At 41.9% G+C, this 21114-nt stretch overlaps 1 protein-coding gene across 7 annotated transcripts in view, besides 1 other annotated feature; it reads right to left on the bottom strand.

Annotated features, from left to right (window-relative positions):
• The window catches only part of ZNF236 (zinc finger protein 236), a 150345-nt gene that overhangs the window by 29060 nt on the left and 100171 nt on the right, over positions 1-21114 (bottom strand). For 5 of the 7 annotated variants that reach the window (NM_001306089.2, XM_011526165.4, XM_047437793.1 and 2 more), the window contains 6 exons: positions 20668-20771; positions 18288-18653; positions 16660-16805; positions 16325-16565; positions 15736-15915; positions 6499-6686 (listed from right to left, as the gene is read on the bottom strand). In NM_001306089.2, coding sequence (NP_001293018.1) covers positions 6499-6686; positions 15736-15915; positions 16325-16565; positions 16660-16805; positions 18288-18653; positions 20668-20771 — 1225 coding nt within the window. Of the gene's footprint in view, positions 1-6498; positions 6687-7780; positions 7863-14695; positions 14869-15735; positions 15916-16324; positions 16566-16659; positions 16806-18287; positions 18654-20667; positions 20772-21114 lie in introns of those variants that run through there. The other 2 variants (XM_011526168.3, XM_011526169.4) reach the window with 2 other exon arrangements.
• Positions 3796-4296: an enhancer, noted in NCBI's record as "H3K4me1 hESC enhancer chr18:74651502-74652002 (GRCh37/hg19 assembly coordinates)". NCBI's record gives its function as "activates a minimal SCP1, AML or CMV promoter by ChIP-STARR-seq in naive and primed H9 embryonic stem cells {active_cell/tissue: H9 hESC(naive and primed)}" and the evidence as "EXISTENCE:reporter gene assay evidence [ECO:0000049][PMID:30033119]".

The raw sequence follows: 21114 nt of genomic DNA, 5'->3' as shown, positions 1-21114 counted from the left end.
ATATTTACAAGTACAAGAGTAAATATGAACGACTTGTAGAAGATCAAGGCTAAGAAAGGCACAAAATTAAGAAAGCTTTAAACAGCATGGGCCAGATGACTCTCAGTGTTAAACTTACAACTAACTTGTTACTTCAGAATTGGCTTCTTTTCCCATCAGGAGTCTGTAATAAGATTTGCCAATTTCTGGGTCACTCCACAGTCAAATTTAGACTTAAAAAGCCACATTTATATACCTAAATACAAAGTTTTAAATGTTTTGCACCTGACCAATTATCTGTAATAATAAGTTTGTTTTTTTATGACAAGAATTAGTATAAAAGAGAATTCCCTTCATGAATAAGTAAATTGCTTCTTCTTGTATTCAGAATAAGAACTAAAAATCATTTTGCTTTCTTGAATAGATTTTCTGCATGCACGTTTACACCTCCTGATAAAACTGTCAGACTTCAGTGGGCAAGCAGGACACACAACTACCACCGGCCTGCTCCTCCTCACCCCTGAAGAGTCTAAAGTTTGGAACAAATAAATCAGAATTACATTTCAAAATTAGCCAATTTTCTCTGAATTAAAATTATCACTTACTCCCACAATATTCTTCCAAAATTGGGCCCTTTTCAAGTTTTAAATTAGAATTATGGACTTATAAAAACATATATATTCCAAATTTTTTGCTATTATGAACTCAAATTTGCTCTTCTTTTTTTTTTTTTTTTTTTTGAGACGGAGTCTCACTCTGTCGCCCAGGCTGGAGTGCAGTGGCACGATCTCGGCTTACTACAACCTCCACTTCCCGGGTTCACGCCATTCTCCTGCCTCAGCCTCCCAAGTAGCTGGGACCACAGGTGCCCGCCACCACGCCTGGCTAATTTTTTGTATTTTTAGTAGAGACGGGGTTTCACCGTGTCAGCCAGGATGGTCTGGATCTCCTGACCTCGTGATCCGCCCGCCTCGGCCTCCCAAAGTCCTAGGTTTTACAGGCGTGAGCCACTGCACCCAGCCAAATTTGCCCATTATTTAAGAATACTAGGCTGGGCGTGGTGGCTCATGCCTGTAATCCCAGCACTTTGTGAGGCCAAGGCGGGCGGATCACGAGGTCAGGAGATCAAGACCATCCTGGCTGACATGGTGAAACCCCGTCTCTACTAAAAAATAACAAAAAAGGTAGCCGGGCATGGTGGCGGGCGCCTGTGGTCCCAGCTACTCAGGAGGCTGAGGCAGGAGAATGCTGTGAACCCGGGAAGCGGAGCTTGCACTGAGCGGAGATCGTGCCACTGCACTCCAGCCTGGGCGACAGAGCGAGACTCCGTCTCAAAAAAAATAATAAAAAAATAAAAAATTAAAAAAATTATAAAATAGAATACTATTTAAGTAAAGTAAGACCACCTTTCTCTGTTTTTAGGAACATCATCTTTCATGGATTTTACAAAGAAACAAAAAATAATACATAATAAGTTTACATGACTTTCCTATCTTTTAAATATGTACAGTAATTTCTATGTTTATATTACTGTTTCCTTCAGTCCATTTAGGGAGATTCTTATTTTTCCATGCACAGAGTGCAGTGTTCAGGGTGGTATAATGCTGAACAACTTGATTTCTTCACATTGGATCTCTTCCCCGTGCTATTAGTCCGTTTCCTCATTAAATTCAAGGAGCACATGTCATTTTAAGGAAGTAATATTAAATCATTCGACATTTATCCCCTAGTGAATAACTCTTAACTGAACAATCATCATTAGACACCGGTTAATTTCTCTTGACCACCTTCTAATTTTCAGGTCAAATTTAATTTACATATTTACAGCCATTTTCTTGTAGGTTCATTAATCTCTTGACAATAAAATGGTGGTTTTATTGCTACCAAGGATTCATTATGTTTAGAAAAATACCATTCAAAAAGCTAAGAAAGTTTTCATCTGGTTTTTGCAAGTTTTCAGAGTATTAAATCAGCACAAGTCTAAGTTTGCCAGCTAATAGAAAAAAGATTCAAATAAAGCTACACAATTTCTATTGGATATTTTTAAATTACTTGTTGGACAATGCATGCTAATTAATCAATTTGGTTTAAAAATTTTGTATTTGATAATTTTTTTTAAAGTACAGAAAAGAATATACAGAATGAACTTAACCCACCAAAGCTTAACAGAAACACTAATGTATCTGGATAGACACAGGCTCCAGAAGACCCACCCGGCTCGTGCTGCTCACAAAGCCTCCTGCTCCCATGTCCGCAGGCCAGAGTGGAAGGGCTGAGGGGGGCAGCAGGGAAGCGCTAATGGCAGGGTGTGTGGCTGCAGGCACATCCTGGATGCCAGGCACAGGAGCCACCTGTGCAGTGGGTGGGAGGGAGAGGGCGTGGCAAACGAGGTACTGGCAGCTCAGCCAGCAGAGCCCAAGTCCACGTGGCGTAGCAGGGGCCAGGCAGGAGCCAGAGGGGCAGCTGATGGAGTTTGTCCTGAGGCGCTGAGGACCCACAGGACTTTTGTCCAAAAGCAGCATCCTAAATGAGAAAGTGACCCCACTGGTGTGAAGCCAGGGAGCCTGAGCTGCCAGCTGGTGAGGACAGCAGGCCCCGAAATGGGCCACAGCGCATCCCAGGGTCATCACTGCCACCAAAGCTTCACTCTACAGCCCTTCCTCAAGAACCTGCTTGGAGAACCACCTGCCCGCTCACAAGGCTCCTGGGTGACCCTTGTGCACTACACCAGCAGTCCCCACCCTTTTTGGAACCAGGAAGACTGGTTTCATGGAAGAAAATTTTTCCACGGATTTGAGGTAGGGGATGTTGGGGAGATGGTTTCGGGATGAAACTTTTCCACATCAGATCATCAGGCATTAGCTAGATTCTCATAAGGATCACACAACCTAGATCCCTCACATGTGTAGTTCACAATAGGATTCATGCTCCTTTGAGAATGTAATGCCCCAGTTCATCTGACAGGAGGTGGAGCTCAGGCAGTAATGCTCTCTGGCCCACGCTCACCCCTGCTGTGCGGCCTGGATGCTAACAGACCATGGACAGGTACCAGTCCACAACCTGGGAGTTGGGGACCCCTGTTCTACAAAAAAGGCATGGGACATCCTGGCAAATATTTGCAGACTTTAAAAATACAACCTAGACAATACTGAGAACTACTTACTGAACTTTCACTTTAATTGTAGTGGATAATTCTCAAAGTGATAAAACTTAACATACAGAAAATACGCTCTCATAATCACTGAAATAAATGCCTTTCTGGGTTTTTCTCATCAAACTCAATCCCACACTCCAAAAGTTATTCAAAGGCATTTAACTAATTAAAATTTATATTTTAAATAATTTTTACTTCTTTACTATGTCTTTAATTATGATAGTTAAAAGTCTACAATAAGAAACACACCAGGGACCCTGGGAGCTGACTCACACATATAACAGGACAGTCATTGTGTTCCCAAATGCAATGCTAGGGTCGCCCACCGTGTTGCCAAACGCAATGCTAGGGTCGCCCACCGTGTTCCCAAACGCAATGCTAGGGTAGCCCACCATGTTCCCAAATGCAGTGCTAGGGCAGCCCACCGTGTTCCCAAATGCAGTGCTAGGGTCGCCCACCGTGTTCCCAAATGCAGTGCTAGGGCAGCCCACCATGTTCCCAAATGCAGTGCTAGGGTAGCCCACTGTGTTCCCAAATGGAGTGCTAGGGTAGCCCACTGTGTTCCCAAATGCAGTGCTAGGGTAGCCCACCGTGTTCCCAAATGCAGTGCTAGGGTCGCCCACCGTGTTCCCAAACACAGTGCTAGGGTCGCCCACCGTGTTCCCAAACGCAATGCTAGGGTAGCCCACCGTGTTCCCAAATGCAGTGCTAGGGTAGCCCACCGTGTTCCCAAATGCAGTGCTAGGGTGGCCCACCATGTTCCCAAATGCAGTGCTAGGGTCGCCCACCGTGTTCCCAAATGCAGTGCTAGGGCAGCCCACCATGTTCCCAAATGCAGTGCTAGGGTAGCCCACTGTGTTCCCAAATGCAGTGCTAGGGTAGCCCACTGTGTTACCAAATGCAGTGCTAGGGTCGCCCACCGTGTTCCCAAATGCAGTGCTAGGGTCGCCCACCGAGTTCCCAAAGCCCAATGCACATTACACCCTTAAGGCTTTACAAGACAACCGGAAGTGTAAGGTCATATTTACAGCCGTCATCATTTAAATATAAAAACAACATCTTAGCAGCAAATAAAAACGTGGGAAAGACAAATGACTCTGAGTTAGTGTACAGACTCCTGTACCTGGATTTGAAGTGTGTTCCTTGAATGGTAAATAAGGAAAAGTGCTCTCCCATCCAGCCTCCCCCTGCCCACTGCCTGCCCCAGACCTCAGGGGGCTTCACTAGGCCCTGAGATACAGTGACCAAGATGACAGGTAGGAAAGGAGACCTGGCTGGTCCACCATAATCATCATGCTTCTTGCATCTAGGAAAGCACACCCCAGTCATTTACACCTTAGGATGGGTATTTTGTTTGTTTGTTTGTTTTTGTTTTTGAGATGGACTCTCACTCTGTTGCCCAGGCTGGAGTACAGAGGTGCGATCTCAGCTCACAGCAATCTCTGCCTCCCAGGTTCAAGTGATTCTCTTGCCTCAGACTCCCAAGTAGCTGGAATCACAGGCACCCACCACCATGCCTGGCTAATTTTTGTATTTTTAGTAGCGACGGAGTTTCCCCATGTTGGCCAGGCCGGTCTCAAACTCCTCACCTCAAGCCCATCTCGGCTTGCCAAAGTGCTGGGATTACAGGTGTGAGCCACCACGCCCAGCCAGTCGGTTACTTTTGTTCCAACTACAATTTTAAAACATGATACGAATTGCTAACATTTAGAAGGTTAATTATGTGACAAGCAGGAGTTGATGGTGCGTAAGGGCAGGTGAAGAAGGTGTGTTAAACTCCATAAGCAGTCACGCGCTCCGCACAGCTCAGGAGGAATGCCTCTGAGTGAGATGCAAGCTATGCTTCCCAGCACCACATGTGGCTGACAGGGGCTGCCCGACAGGTCCCTGGGGGCACGACGTAGGCAGGGCTGCTTGGCTACAGGCAGGTCAGCCAAAGGGGAGCCCCTGTGTCCAGTGAGCAGGAACCCTGGCGTGCGGTGCGCCTGGGTCACCTCAGAAGAGGGTAGTGGCTGTGCAGGGGGCCTCGGTGAGGAGCTCTAGGCAAAGCCTATTTGCCAACAACATGTGAGCATCCCACAACCAAGGGAGACTGACTGAACTCTGCCTTGAAGCGATGCAGAGGAAATGCTGCTATTTCACCAATGCGAGGGACTAGAGCTCAGAAGAGGCCATTTCTTCAGCAAGTGGTTGTAATAGTGTTAGGGCCAATCCTGCTCTAGATGCCAACATCTGTTTTTCTTGTACAGTGAGCCTAAAAAGCAGAGACAGGACAATCAAGGAATGTGTTTTGGTGAAAACAACCTCAGCTTTTTTTTGAGAGAGAGGTCTCACTCTGTCGTTCAGGCTGGAGTGCAGTGGTGCAATCATGGCTCACTGCAGCATCGACTTCCCAGGCTCACCCAATCCTCCCACCTCAGCCCCCGGAGTACCTAGTACTACAGGTGTGTACTGCCACGCCTGGCCAAATTTTTTATTTTTTGTAGAGACAGAGTTTTGCCACGTTGCCCTGACTGGTCTCAAACTCCTGCACTCAAGCAATCCTCCCACCTCAGCCTCCCAAAGTGCTGGGATTACAGGCAGGAGCCACCTGTGTCCAGCCTCAGCTTTCTAATTCTGCTGCATATTTTGCTTCTATTACAGCCAGGAACAGACACATAGAAATCACAATTTACATCAACTAAGAATAGACTTTTTTACAGTCAACTATGAAAATTCTGACACAGCCTTATTATAATTAGTCTTCAACTATCAAAATGCTGGCATAGCTTTGTTATAATTCACCTTCATTATAACTAATCATAATGTATCATTATGATTTTCCTAATTAAAGTCTGAAAGGTTTTTCAGCATCTTAGCTCAACGAATCATTTAAAAATGTACACCCCTTTGGCACAGCACTTCTACTGGTAGGAATTCATCTAAGAATCTCAGTGACTAAGGGCATGAAAAATTCCATACTACTTATTGAAACCATGAATACAACATAATGCCCTTCAATAAAGCTCATCTACATGATGTGTACATCATTTTATAAATTTCTGCAGAAATTTATAACTATGTACCTTATACATTCATATAAAGGTGTAGAAGGATATATACATTAAAATGTTAACTGTGGTTCCATTTGGGTGGTGGGATTACAGCTTTGGGTTTTATGTTTTACCTTATTTTTTATGTTCTTCTACATTATCTGAATTTTTATCCCCTTTTATATTTACCGTATTTTTTAATCAGAAAAAAAATGCTTCGATTTTGGGGAAAAAAAATGCTCAGACTATTTATTTAGGAAGGAGTCAATGAATAATGTTTTCAAAGATCACTTTTTGAAAGGACCTTCGCATCCCTCTCTGAGGAGCACTTGCCTGAGAGGTGATGTTGAGTGTGACAGTGTCCAGGCCTCCAGATAGCATACCCTGAGTATCGGCCAGCGTCAGCGTGACACTAGCGTCACCTCCCACGCCCGACGAGGACATGACCAGGTTCTGAGTCGAGATGGCCGATGGAGACATCGGTGTTGTTGAAGGAAGGCTTCCGCTTGTAGTGTTAAGTTCTACAAAAGAGGCAAAGTAAGTAGATCAATGGGAAGGCCAGACAAGTCCAGGTGTAAGGGCATAGGGAGAGCGATGCTCCCACCTGCAGGAAGCAGCATTCATGCCCGAGGTCTCCAAGCTGCACCAAAGAAATCACAGGGTCTTCAATTCTAATTTTAGGATAAGGCTTTTCTTAGTTTTTAAACATCTTTACATATGAATATACTGTGCTTCTTAAGTATAACACACACAGAGAAAAACCAGTAAACAAAGAGTGAAAATGTGACCCCATAGTCTCAGTCACAGCTACTACTGTAGAATGAAAACTCAGACAAGAATTTCCAGTGCATTGTCCCCATCCACAACCAAAGAGACCAGCTGAAGAAAGGAAGCAAGTGTGATCCACTGAGGAATAGCTACTTCCGGAGCTTACCCATCCACAACTGAAGAGACCAGCTGAAGAAAGGAAGCAAGTGTGATCCACTGAGGAATAACTAGCTCCTGAGCTTACGGGATAAATCTGACCATCTCTGCTCATTTTCTCACTTTCATCACCCTGACTGATTCTTATTCTAAAAGACAGGAGGTCAAAATACATCTCATAAATCCTTTAAATATTCATTTATCCTGCATGACATCTTAATTTTCTTCAGAAAAGACAACAAAACTGAAATATCTCCCCTTGCAGCCGATACTAAGAGAAACGAAAGTATCTGGTGAAGAAAGGGCTTTTCTTTTACAAAACAGACACTCATGTACCTTGCTGGCAGATGAGACGGGTTCAGCATGGGATTATCAAAGTCCTGTAGTGGGCACCAGTGAACACAACGTTGAAAGTATAAACACATGGGCACACACACGCACACTCACTTTATCCCACAGTCGAGCCATCCATTCATTTGAAACATGTATTCCTCATCCACTTGTGCCAGCCACTGTGCCAGTTGCTAAGGATGCCAAGATGACGACCAAAGGAAAGTTCAAAAAGCTATTGCCTAACCAGGTTTCAAAACAAAAGAAACACGCGCCTGTCAGCACTTTGCTGTGACTTGGGTCACATCAGTCCAGCGCTCTCCTAGGAGTCAGGGGCCAACAGGAAAACTAGGTTACTTACTTGTCGCTGGAGTTCTCCAAATACAATGCCTCCACAGATCCACACTCCTGGGGTCCCACACTGTGCTGCACAGACCTGGAACCTTCAAAAGCAGTAGAACCATTAGCAGGCTGGGAGGCTCGAGCGCTGAAGCAGCCGCCGGGGCTCCACAGATAGCTAGGTCAGACCCTCCCGCCTGCTCCAGCATCCGCACAGAGTGCTGGTGGGAGCCCGAGGAGTGTGGCCTTGTGGAGGACGTCTGCATGCACTAAGCGTTCCAGTGACCAGTACAGCAGCTGACCTAATAGCTGTCCTCCTAAAATTCCCTCCACACACCCTTACCGCACACTAGCCTGCGGGTACGTTTTTAACATGAGTGGTCAAAACCATAGAGACTGGGGCGGGCGGGCAGGTGGCAGCTGCCAATGAGCTTGCACAGAGGGAAGACGGGGAAGAGATGCATGTGCCTGTGAATCTCGCCCAGGATCACACTTAGAGCCAAGGCGAAGCCAGCGCACAGCAAAAATTCAAACCTCACCCCAACTGCTGAAATAAAGGAACCAAAGATCTTCTCCCCACTCCCACCAGTCAACTAATCCTGACTTTCTAGTGATTATTAAGGTATCAGAGGTTCCGGGACTGTGCAGCATGAAAAATGTAAAAAGATAGAGAAGGCTTGTGTTTGATTAAAGTGAAACCTGACACAAAGTTCAATGAAAATAATAAACAACTTCAGACAGGGCCAAATTTCGTATTTCAACTCAAACAGTGAACCTTTAATAATGTCCTAATTCAATGGATTTTCCACAAAGAGGATGATACCGGTTCCAGTAGAACTGTCCTCAATATGATTGAAAAGAACACATGACTAGAGCAGAAAAAAGCTGAAATTTTCTTAAGCATGCAGTTAAATTACAAGCTACAAATAGCTCTTAACTATCCATTTGTTAAAAGCTACAATCTTATATTCAAATTAAATACTCTTAGCATGAAAATGAAGATCCCATGCTGAAGTGAAGATTGTAGACTCTTACTTTTATTCTTCACTTATTTTTCTGAAACCACTGTTCCTCCAGCATGTATAGAGCAATACAAGTCTGACTTTATGATTCCGACTCAAAAATAAGTTAAAAAGATTAATAAACTGTACGCTCATCAAACCCAACATTGTCTTAAATCTCTTGGGATATCACCTCATAGCTTCTAAGAAAACATAATTTTGTAAGGTTCTAAAAATAATTTAAAAGATATGATATCAGTTTTTTCTTGCGATTAACTGAAATGTGGGAAGACAGGAGGTGGGGGCGGCAGAACAGGAGAGAAGCATCGGGGTAGCCCCTCGTTCCCAAGCATCCAGGTCACTCAGAGGGACAACTCGTGAGGATGAGAACGTCCTCTTCAGTTTTAATATACACCGGGGAATGGGAAATGTTAAATTGTTGAACTATTTAAAAATAAAATAAGTGATTATACTTAAATCTAGAAGAAACTAAGGCTAGAATAACCCTACAAATAAATAGAAAACAAATACTGGTCTTTGCTTCTTTCATCAAAAGCAGAACTCAATTTATTCATCAAAATTATCTTAAATTTAAAAGTGGACGAAGGTAAGAACAAAAAGATAATACTCATTTGAGATGAATTCCTTAAAAAGTTGTGCTAAATTTCTCAAGCCTCTATCAAGACTACGATCTGCTTCTGAGACAGTACTTACATTCTATGGGATCACTTTTTAAGGAAAACTCTTTGTGTCAGATTTGGGAATGGATGTTGGGATGAAACTCTGAAATAGTCTTCAACTCCTGCATCACGAATCTCAACAAAAGCATGTGCTTTTGTCCTGCATGTGAAATTCTGACTAATTGTCTCGCCTGGATTCATCGCAAATCCCTAAGTGGTGATACACTTCTTTCAATGCCTTCGATTAAGATGAAACAGCCAGAGTTAACCTAGAAGCTGATGAGTCTTAACCAAACCTTGCTTGCATAGAGAATCAAAAAATAATAATAGCCATATACATATTCATTATGCTCAACATAAGTTTTGTATGGGCATTAGAGGTTTTTGAGTGTTTACCTTAGAAGAGTCATGTTTAATTTCAAAATAATGTCATTTTAATTTCAATTATTAGTGGTGTGGCCTCAAGCTAGATCTGAAACTGACTTTGACTCTAGATAAATATTGCTCACTAAGAGGCAATCTCCTAACTACTACTATACAGTTGAGATCCACTACATAATTATAACTAGGACAAATGGGATGTGCAAGCCACTCTAAAAACATCTGCTTAATATCAAGGATTGAGTGGGTCAATATATGAACAATTGCTTCCTATACCCAGGATTATTCAAAGATGCCAAAGGTATTCAAGAACATAAGACAACTTACTTGATCACATAAAACTAAGCCTGTATTTAAGAATAGCCGATATCACATTAATACACAAATATTCTTTAATTATGCGTTCATCTTTTATTTTATAATGTCACCCAATCCCTTGAAAAGCTTTTTTTTTTTTAATTTAACAAGTGGGATATAAGCTAAAGTAGCCTAAGAGAGAGAGAGAGAGTGAGAGAGAGAGACTGATTTTCTCAGCTGACTCTTTTTTTTTTTCTTCTTGAGACGGAGTTTTGCTCGTCACCCAGGCTGGAGTGGCACAATCTCGGCTCACTGCAACCTCCACCTCCCAGGTTCAGGCGATTCTCCTGCCTCAGCCTCCCGAGTAGCTGGGATTACAGGCACCCGCCACCAAGCCCAGCTAATTTGTTGTATTTTTAATGGAGACGGGGTTTCACCATGATGGCCAGGCTGGTCTCAAACTCCTGACCTCAGGTGATCCGCCCGCCTCGGCCTCCCTAAGTGCTGGGATTACAGGCGTGACCCACCATGCCCGGCCTCGGCTGGCTCTTTAAAAAAAGGTCTAAAAGAATAATAATTTAAAAAATGCAAATCAGCAAAGTGGGTATGTTGCTGTTTATACAGAAATGTCAGCTGCATAACATGTGGGAGCCTTGCACCCACTGACTGAGGACAGCTCGCCTGCCCTGAAAGGACCCTCACCTGAGTGTGAGATGCTGGTGTGACACTTCCAACATGCGTCTGTGGAGGTGAATTTATAGGTACAGCACTTACTACCGAACTAGCCAGATCACAGGAGTTTAAAGAAACGCGGGCAGCTAGAGCAGAGCCCTGGAGTGCGTGCGCCCTCATTCCATCCAACTTCTCCCTTCGGTCAGAACATCCCCAATTTCGAATCAAGCAATCTGCTGCGCCTACAAACATCCAGGATCACCAAGAGGCACAAACACCACTCCACTCAAACTGAAACCTCTACAACCCAACTTGTCTCTCCATCAATGTGCCAGGGGCTCACTAAGGATGTTCAGCAGAGTTTCCAGGAAGACATGAGGCTGCACTGCTGACGGCCAGTTTCCTGCTCAGTGAGGCCGGCCAGCAGGGCATGAATCCAGACATCTCACCCAGAGCCCTGCACCACGAGCGACTACCACTCGCTTCGGCCCACACACAAACAGCACGTCTTCACATTGCAACATGAACCATGCAGCGGGGGAAAGATGATGAACTCACAGCCTAAGATTAGAATTCTAGAGATGAGAAGAACACACTGCCTGATCCTTTAAAAACCACAAACTATGAGTTTTAGAAAACGTTTGGAGAAAAACATTTGCTATGTTAACTTCAACAATACATCATATATTTTGGACCTTCCACCCATTAAAATATCCACACCTCCTTGCTTCAGCTAAAGGCCACCATGGGCCATGCAAAGCTGAGTGGCTGGCGTTGGGAGAAAAGCCACCACACTCCCAAGCCCCTCTCTCAGCTCAGCCAGGATGTCCTCAAAGAAGCCACAGAGCCACCCCCTGTGACATGTGCTCTCTGTGCCATCACCTCTCCTTTATATATGGTTACAGCTGTAATTTTATAGTCACTTGTGGATTCTTCAAAAAATGTCTGCACTCCATTTATTCTGAGATCCAGAACACAGGGCCAGCTCTGACCTGCCCAGAGTCACAGTCCCAGATTTTGCACAATTCTTAGCACACAGCAGACACTATAATCTTTTATGGAATAAATGAACTACGGGACAAGAGGTCGTTTCAATTAAGAATGAAGCATGAAAAGAGGTCTAGCTTTTGGGTACAAACATATCTGAAGATTAGTTTTTTTTTCCTCACAAAGTGATATACATAGTTGGAAAATAACAAGGCTAAGAAGTGAATGCAATCTCTACAAGGTGAAGAGAACGAGATAGGTATGTTATCCTAAACTGTTAATGGTTACTTATGAAACTGTCATTTATCTTACATGAGCTCATTTATTACGTTGGTGCAAAAGTAATTGCAGTTTCTGCCAATATTAATATGTTTATTTTTCATAAAATTCTATGCTTTAAAATCTTAGAAAGCTGCCTCCTTTCCATTTTTCTATTCTATTTTCAGCTGGTGTCAGAAAATTCTCACTGGAGGGCAGAAGTAATGAGCTAAGTAAGAGTCTTCCAGCGCTGGGTTAGAAAGGGACAGCTTTGTACATGGAGTTATTAACATGCTAACTTGTATAAATATACGATGCTTTGTACAGTTGAATAAAATTATTTACTTTCATGGCTTAAAAAGTAACATCATCGATTGGTTGGTAACATTAGAGAGAATTTTGTATCCTAGAATTAGACATAAGCCAGTAATCCTTACAGAATGATAATCCATGTGACAAAGCATGACGCTGACACACCTGTCATGCTAAGGACAGTTTAACTCCTCATTGACTGTGGGCAGAGCTCTTTAGCTCCGACCTCTTATAATGTCTTTCTTGGCTAACTCGTGTGCTGTGTGCCTGAAGAGCTCAATGCTGTGCTCTGGGAGAGAAGCTGATCATTGCTTATTGTTAGGGTGGCACCTGTAGATTGATTATTGATTTCAGGCGCTAACAATCTTATGCTCCCGTTTATTAATAGTTCACTATTTCCATTAGAATTGTGTTGAATAAGTTCTTGACCTAAATGGAAATTAATATTGTGGTATCTGAAAACAACATTCTAAGATGCGTATTGGCAAGTGTGTTAAACATATAATTCTATCCTCAAAGTTTTCATTGTCATTTCAGTACAATTTATGGAAAAATGAAAATGAGACCACAAAATGCATTTCCCTAAATGACAGTATTTGTTCACACTTTTTAAGCTGTGAAGTATTTTAAAAATACTTCTTATGAGTTTTACTTTAACTCAGTATTTAGGCCCTAAAAATCACACACTGTGTGGAATGAAACTGTCAATGAATTGAAAATATTTCCAAATATAGTGCACTGCCAGGTATAGCAAAAGCATGTTAAAAGGATCTGAGGGGCATCACCAGGCGATAACAGAACCTCCCCTCCCTGCCCTCCACTGGGCAGGCTTGCCGAGCCCACGATGCTGCGGTTTCCCGTGTGCTGTGTTCCTATCCTATGTGTTCTGAATGCTCTCAAGTACACACTAACATGCCTGCAATACATTCCTACTAAAACACATTTGCTTGATTCAAAACCCGTTTATGCCAGCTTCATCAGCTACTGTAATGATATAATGAAATCAAATAGTATGGCAACTAGAAATGAATATGAGAATAAAAAATCTGTTGGACATCCAATGGAAACCAAATTGAATGCCTTGGAAAAACTTGGTAAAGACAAGATACTTTAAACATTCTGCTGTCAAAATAGGTGTAGGCAAGACAACTACACAAAATCAGAGAGAAAAAGATTCAAAAGACAAAAGTATGCTGCACTATGATTGCTTTATAGTGACCTACATTCTCATGCAATGCTAAAGAAAGAGAAACAGGAGATGAAACTGCATGATGAACATGAGTACAGGCAAAAATTTTAAAAAGTAGAAAATGTATTATCACCTGAGCAGACCCATATTCAAAAGATCCGTGGATGAATCTCCAAAGTATGCAGATGTCACTTGTTTGGTTCCCAATTTTATATACCTTTTTATTAATAACTGGGCTGAAAACATCAGGTAAAAGGACTTTCATTGTATCTGGACAGGGTAATTCCGGGAGGCAAAGGACTGTCTTTGCTTTTCACTCAACGTGTAACCTTTTTCTGAATGCTAGGACTCATGAACTGCCTAAAGTCTGCAAAACTTAGCTGAAGTGATTTGTGCATTCTCTAGTACTTGCATGCATTTATAATCCTATGTGTTAATGGAAAAAAGAACACACTATGAAATCTTTGAAAATTTCTATGGAATATCTAGATGCTTTTAACAGGTTACCATAAATTAAATGCTTTTTGCAGCCCTTTCAAAATGGGATAAGGAACTGTATAGCCAATTCTCATTATCCATCATAATAAGTGAGAAAAAACAATCTGAAGCCCAAAGTTGAAACCAAACTTATTTCATTAACTCATTTAAGGTTTTCTCCTAGAACAGCTGAAGCCAAATTCTTAAAATATTAGTTATATTCATCTACACTTTCAAATATACTAACAAAATAACCAAATGGCCAATAATAACACACAGGAAGAACAGAGGCACAATCCACAAACTGAAGAATACATTTTCTTAACTCTGAGCAAGAACCATGCACTATGTAGTTTTGATAGGACCTAGCACAATACTTCTTATATTAAGTGTACTCGAGAAAGTTAATTGGATCAACCAAATAGCTTTCCTAAAATATTGTAACTCTTCTGTATTTCCAACATTAAAATTCAGATATAAATATAATTTTAAAAGGAGGAAGGTTACTGAATTATATAAAATTCAATGTTAATTTTTGCTGTCCAACAGCATCTAAAAACCACTGCATCTCATTTAAAAGCAAAGCTGTACCTAAAAACAGTTCCTCAAATTTCTCACTAATGTATTAAAAGAAATAAAGACACCTTCCTGAAAAAGAAAGCTTCTGGTTTTCTTATGAATACCTTTTCTTTCAGTTCTGAAATTAATTTCTGCAGAAATATCTCTGAAACAGCAGAAATCCTGCCCTTCATGGTTGAGTCCATCTAGAATGCTGTCCTTCTCCACAGGTGTGTTTCAGGGAAGTGGGGCTGCTTCCCTCTGTCACATCAGATCTCCACGGAGCGTGTTTTGATTCCTAGCAAAATGTCTTTGTTAACATCATCATCAGGTTACGAGTCTTAAATGAACTAATATTGAATGAGTTAATATCTGTGGAAGTTACTAGAATAATATCAAGCACATAGTAAGGGCTCTAAAAATTGCTGAATTAACAAATGACTCTTAGTAATACAAAGAGTTTATAGTTAAGAGTCACGTGAGCAAAGCACACCAGGAAAATATGTTCAATGCTCACTGAGATCCGAACACACTATGGGAATTAATGATACGTAAGGACCAAGGAAGGCACACAAGGAGAAAAGTCAGAATGCGAGCAGCATAGCCCTAAGACAGGGAATGAGTCAGCCTGGTGACTGGCAGAGAGAATTAGATTGCCAGTTTTAGGTGGGCTTTACTGCCAAAGGGTATTTCCTACCCGTTTATCTACTTTTCAATGTTCTCCTATGTTTCAATTTTCCTATATAATCCTAATAGAATTCTGAAGACATACGGTAAAGAGAGTGCCATGCGGATCTAAAATGCCCTAATGTAAACAGTTTATACCAGTTTCATGGAGCATGAGTGAGAACCACAAAGCTACGCTTTCTGCTGTTTGCTAAACAAAAATAACTTATTCTCTAAAAATGAGTCAATGAATGAAATAATTAAATAACTGACTGTACTCAAACTGGAAGTGACATGAGAAACTATAATTTTTCATTTCTGGTGCCAGATCTGAATTAGAATACATTATTTTCACTAAACTTCAATTTCTCCCATAAATTATAAATACATATTGAGCACGGGCTTTATGCACAGCAGAGTATTGTAGGAAAAGAGATAGTAAGATATACAGTACTTAAATTGCAGGGTGAAAAGATGTTTAAAATTATAACTTACTAACCGGAGATAGTCAGGGTAATTTCCTGTGGAGACCCCGAGGAAGACGTGGCAGTGGGCCCAGCGGCCTGTGCCAGGACCTGGCTCAGGCTGGAGTTGTTAATGGTCAGGGTGATCTCGTGGGGACCGCCGGAGGGGGACACTAGACCTTGCGAAGTCATCACTTGAGTGAGGTCTTGGGTCCCTGATTGTCATTACAAAGCAAAACAAAGTTGAGATTCAAAATAACCAATTTCCCCTGTTTTTATATTAAAAATATTTTAATTAAACTGTTATTACATATTTCAATAAGACAAAGATTTAAAACAAAGCATCAGTCATCTCTAATTCCTTCGTCTAAGAAGAAAGCCTTGTGAGGAAATGAAGCCAGGATGAAAAGAGTAATTAAATGAAGGTAGTAATAATCTAAGAGCATATATTAAATACATATCATTAATTGTAAGAAAAGCTTATTTTATTCTCAGGACATTTGATTTATTCTCTTCTACAAAGAGAAGAAAATGACATCATAACATCCTAAATTCAAATATGTAATCACAAGCAAGAAACTGAAACTCCAGCTGTCAAAATAAGCAAAAGTGAGTGGCTCTTACCACTGCTGTTAGTGGTCAGCACTGAATCCTGCTCAGACAGCGGGCCTATGGTCAGGTTCGCAGAGGTCACTGTGGGCTGTAAGGACAGGCCTGAGATGGGCTGGATGACAACACTGGCAGGGACCGTGCTGTCCGATGTCTGGAGAGAGCTGTTCTGTGGGGCCAGGCCAGGCTCCCCCGTGAGCTGCTGAGCCAATAGGTTGCCCTGCTGTAGCGTCTGCTGCAGAATGCTTGGATCAATCTGAAAAGCAGCACAGGTACTTGTAATGAAAACTTCATGCTTCTCTGTGATGCCAAGAGAATTACAGCACAGGAGACCATGGAAGGTGTCATACCTGCAACGTAATGTTATTAATGCTGGCAGCATCGATTCCAGAAATCTGTACATTTGGTCCAACCAAGTTAGCAGCCAACTGTAACTGGATGCCTTCTAGGGTAGCCAGGCTCCCATCTGTCAGAGACACGGTCAGGTCACCCCCAGCTGGCCAGAGAAAGAGAAAGAGAATGATCAAATATTATGAATGCTTCTTAAAACTAAAGTAATTCATTTTTTACATAGGGATTTTTAAATACATAAGTTGTACACATTATGTCAATACAATGTTGTTGTGGAATACGAACACCTACTTTATACCATATACACATATATGCTGTTTAATCACCCTTTATACCATATACACACACTGTCTAATCACCCCTTATTTATACCATATACACACACACTGTCTAATCACCCTTTATACCATACACACACACTGTCTAATCACCCTTTATACCATACACACACATGGTCTAATCACCCTTTATACCATACACACAGTCTAATCACTCTTTATACCATATATACACACACAGTCTAATCACCCTTTATACCATATATACACACACTGTCTAATCACCCTTTATACCATATATACACACACTGTCTAATCATACACACTGTCTAATCACCCTTTATACCATATATACACACACAGTCTAATTACCCCAGAAACCTACTTTCTACCATATACGCACATATACTGTCTAATCACCCATTATACCATATATACACACAATGTCTAATCACCCCAGAAACCTACTTTATACCATACACAAATACACTGTCTAATCACCCCAGAACAACTCTGTAAAACAGATACTCCTTTATGCCATACGCATACACTGTCTAATCACCCGCGAAATCTCATTTATACCATATACACATACACTGTCTCATCACCTCAGAAACCTACTTTTTACTATATCCACATACAGTCTAATCACCGCAGAGCAACTCTGTGAAACAGATACACTTTATACCATACACACACACTGTCTAATCACCCCAGAACTCTGTGAAATGGATACTCATATTGCCCACTTTAAACGTATCAGAAAAGTAGCTCAAAAAGATTCTACTGATTAGCCAAAGGTTCAAAACAACCACTACTACTGAGTGGTGGTCAGGCTGCAATCCTGCCACGAGTCACAGAAACAGAAAGAAGGGCACACAGGACATCTGACTGCCATGTACAACGGCTGCATTTACTCACAGGCACACAAATCAACACAACTAGCTAAAATGTAACACTTCTCAAGCACTATGAGACGCAAGAACAACTGGAAAACTGCACTATATCAAAAACAATGCTATTGAGTATTTATAAATTACACTTCTCACTACTAAATTTATGAGAATGCCAACTGAGTAAAAACAGGTTTACACCCACTAAAAACAAAAGCTAAACAAAGTGCTTAGTGTAAAAAAGCAGCTGGCATGGAAGACAGAATGCGAAATGGAAAGGAGCAATGTCTGCAAGACGGAATTCCAATTTTTCCGAATGCCTTATAAGGAAAAGGCTCAAAGAAGGGAAACGTGGTGCTACGGTAAACAACATCTCTTCTGTCGTGGGAACAGACAGAAGCAGCACAGAACAGTTCAATCACTGTGCTGCTCTCATTCCCTCGGCTCAGCGTTTACCTGACACAGAGGCAGGGAGAATAGCTTGGCCCACCAGTCCTGGTTGCAGCAGATTCTGATCAAACTGTCCTGTTAGAACAGAGTTGTTCATGATAAACACGTTTGGGTCAGTAGAGGAGGAGTTGAGGAGGTTTACAGGCTGCAGTCCTTCCGATGAGCTTCGAGTCATAGGCTTTCTGGCCTTCTTTGGGTCTGGTTTATAATGAAACTGCATGTGTGTCTTTCTTCTACCCGAGGTACGGAAACGCAGCTCGCAATGCGGGCATTTGAAGGGCTTGGCTCCCGTGTGCAGGCGCATGTGGACCTTCAGACTTCCCTTCGTGGAGAAGGCGTTGCTGCAGACGTGACAGCTGAAGAGCTTCTGACCTGTGAAAAGCCCAGCCAAGAATCAACAGAGGCGATGGCAGTCGCGACACTCACCCCCACCCCACTCAGCTGTCACTATGGATGTAAATATGTTGAATCAGTGGATGGAAGTACTTTAATGAGAATCCCTTTCACCTATAAGATGTTACGGACGTCACAGGCAATTGCTGCAGTATTGTAAATTTAACAGTGTATTGTTTACAATTTGAATTTAGCATTTTCACAAGCCTTTGAGGTTTACAGTGTTTCTAAACCACTGCATTATTCTGAACCTTGATTGGAGTAGTTGATTTATATTTATCAGAAGCTAATGGGTGGTATGACTTAACAGCCCGGCTCTGAATTACTGTCACTTTTCTTTAATTTTACAAGTGGTACTTTAACATCTCAGCATCTCTCTATCTTCTCTTCTGCCAAACAGGGGCAACCACAATGCCAGCACAGGTAGGCATCACACTGGGAGAATATGCAAAGGAAAGTTCTATGCTAGGGTCAAAGGGCTGTGTGCCTAGTGTCATGTACCTAGTTCCTTAGGCTCTTTTCATGATTACTGGGTATATCAAAGGCCACGAAGGCTCGGAGCACCATGAGCATAGGCTCCACCCTCCAAGAGCCTCTGGGAGCTGAAAAACTTCCTGGCTGGCTTTTCCCCTCTACTGTCCAGGAACAAATGCTAATTTTTACAGGATGGTGCACACTAGGATCCACCGAGGGACTAGTGCAACCTGCTATCCCAACGCCGCCCTGGGTTCCTCAGAAATCACACCTCTACTTCAGAATGGAGAAAGAGGCACCAAAAGGTATTTATCCAGAGACTTCCATTTCTAGTCCTTATCCACGTGGCCTACGCTGAACTCCAAAACCAAGGAAATGATGAAGCAGCGTGCACCAAGTCATCGTGGACGTCACTGGGCACCTGCTGCATGAGAGGCCGTGCCCTAGGCCTGGGGGCACAAAGATAAGTGATGCCGGGCCCTCCATATCCACAAAAAGTTCACTGCATTACACAAAAGAGATAAATACAGGGAGCCTAATGAAACAACAGAAAAACTGCACACAGGACAGTCATATAAACAAGCTCAGGGATCTGTTTATCTAGTTACAAATATTAACCCATCAGAAAAGAATCACAGGGCTTCAGGTAAATGTGTGAAAGTCCATTTGTTCTTGTCTGTTGAATTCTGCTTATAACCAACAATGAAGAATGTAAATTAGTCTCATAATCATAATTCTATGAATCATTATAACAACAGCTCTGCATTCACTGTGCGTTTACCACAGGCCAATCCATTCCTAAGTGTTTACCAAAGGCCAAACACTTTTCCAAGCTATTTAAATGTCTTAATGCTTAAAGCTATTTAAATGTCTGAACTCCCAAAGACGGAGGTACAACTATTAGCCCCATCTTCTGCAGAAGAAACTTGTGGCTGAGAGGAGAACCTTGTCTAGGACCACAGAGCTCACAGGAGGACTACAGGATTCCCAAGCAGGCAGAGGCAGAGGCAGCCTCCCCACCGCTAGGAGGCACTGTGCAGAATTCCAGAAGCAAAGGCACAGACAAGATGAAGATGAGAAAAAGGCCAGGAAACTTGGACATTCATTTCTGCCTTTGCAAGAGTTTCTCCCCATATAAAAATAATTATGAAATGATAACTGCCATCAGATTTGCTAAGTGCCAGGTTTTACAAAACCTCAACAAACTAAACCTCTTTGGCTTAAATGAGACTAAGAGGTAATCTTTTTAACAAAGTTATTTAAGCATGAGTAAGAATACGTGACAATTTTTAAGAAAAATTCAACTTTTGAGACCTAATCCTTTTTTTTCTTAGTGTCATTTGGACAGTTTTCCCTGTGTCAGGAATAAAAAAATCTTTTATATCACTTCCTTCTTGGTGCCTCATTTTTAAGCGTTCTATAATTTGGAAAGTATTTATGTACACAAAATATATAGGAACAAAACATACGAAATGCTATCCTAAGACCTCTACCAATGACGCAGGCATGTTTTCCTTACCTGTGTGAGTCTTCACATGACAATCGAGAGTGGATTTCACAGTAAAACTCTTTCCACATTCATCACATTTGTATGGCTTTTCTCCAGTATGGATTCGAACATGCCTATCCAAAAAGCATTAATTATAGACATATTGACAAACGACTTCATGATTTGAAATTTATAACTATATAAATTAAAATTAGGTGTTACTACGTTCTGCTTAAGTTTGGCCAAGAAAAACTTTAAGCTTCACTCCATACAAAAAATACCATAAACAAATCCAAATAACAACGAAAATATTTGCAGGACAAATAATAATAGAGATAATTTCCTTAGGGCCAGGAGCGGTGGCTCACGCCTGTAATCCCAGCACTGTGGGAGGCTGAGGCAGGGAGATCACCTGAGGTCAGGATTTCGAGACCAGACTGGCCAACATGGTAAAACCCTGTCTCTACTGAAAATACA

The sequence above is a fragment of the Homo sapiens genome, chromosome 18 (genome assembly GCF_000001405.40).
Source record: "Homo sapiens chromosome 18, GRCh38.p14 Primary Assembly".
Taxonomy (NCBI): Eukaryota; Metazoa; Chordata; class Mammalia; order Primates; family Hominidae; genus Homo; species Homo sapiens.
This window is presented reverse-complemented; position numbering and strand designations above follow the sequence as displayed.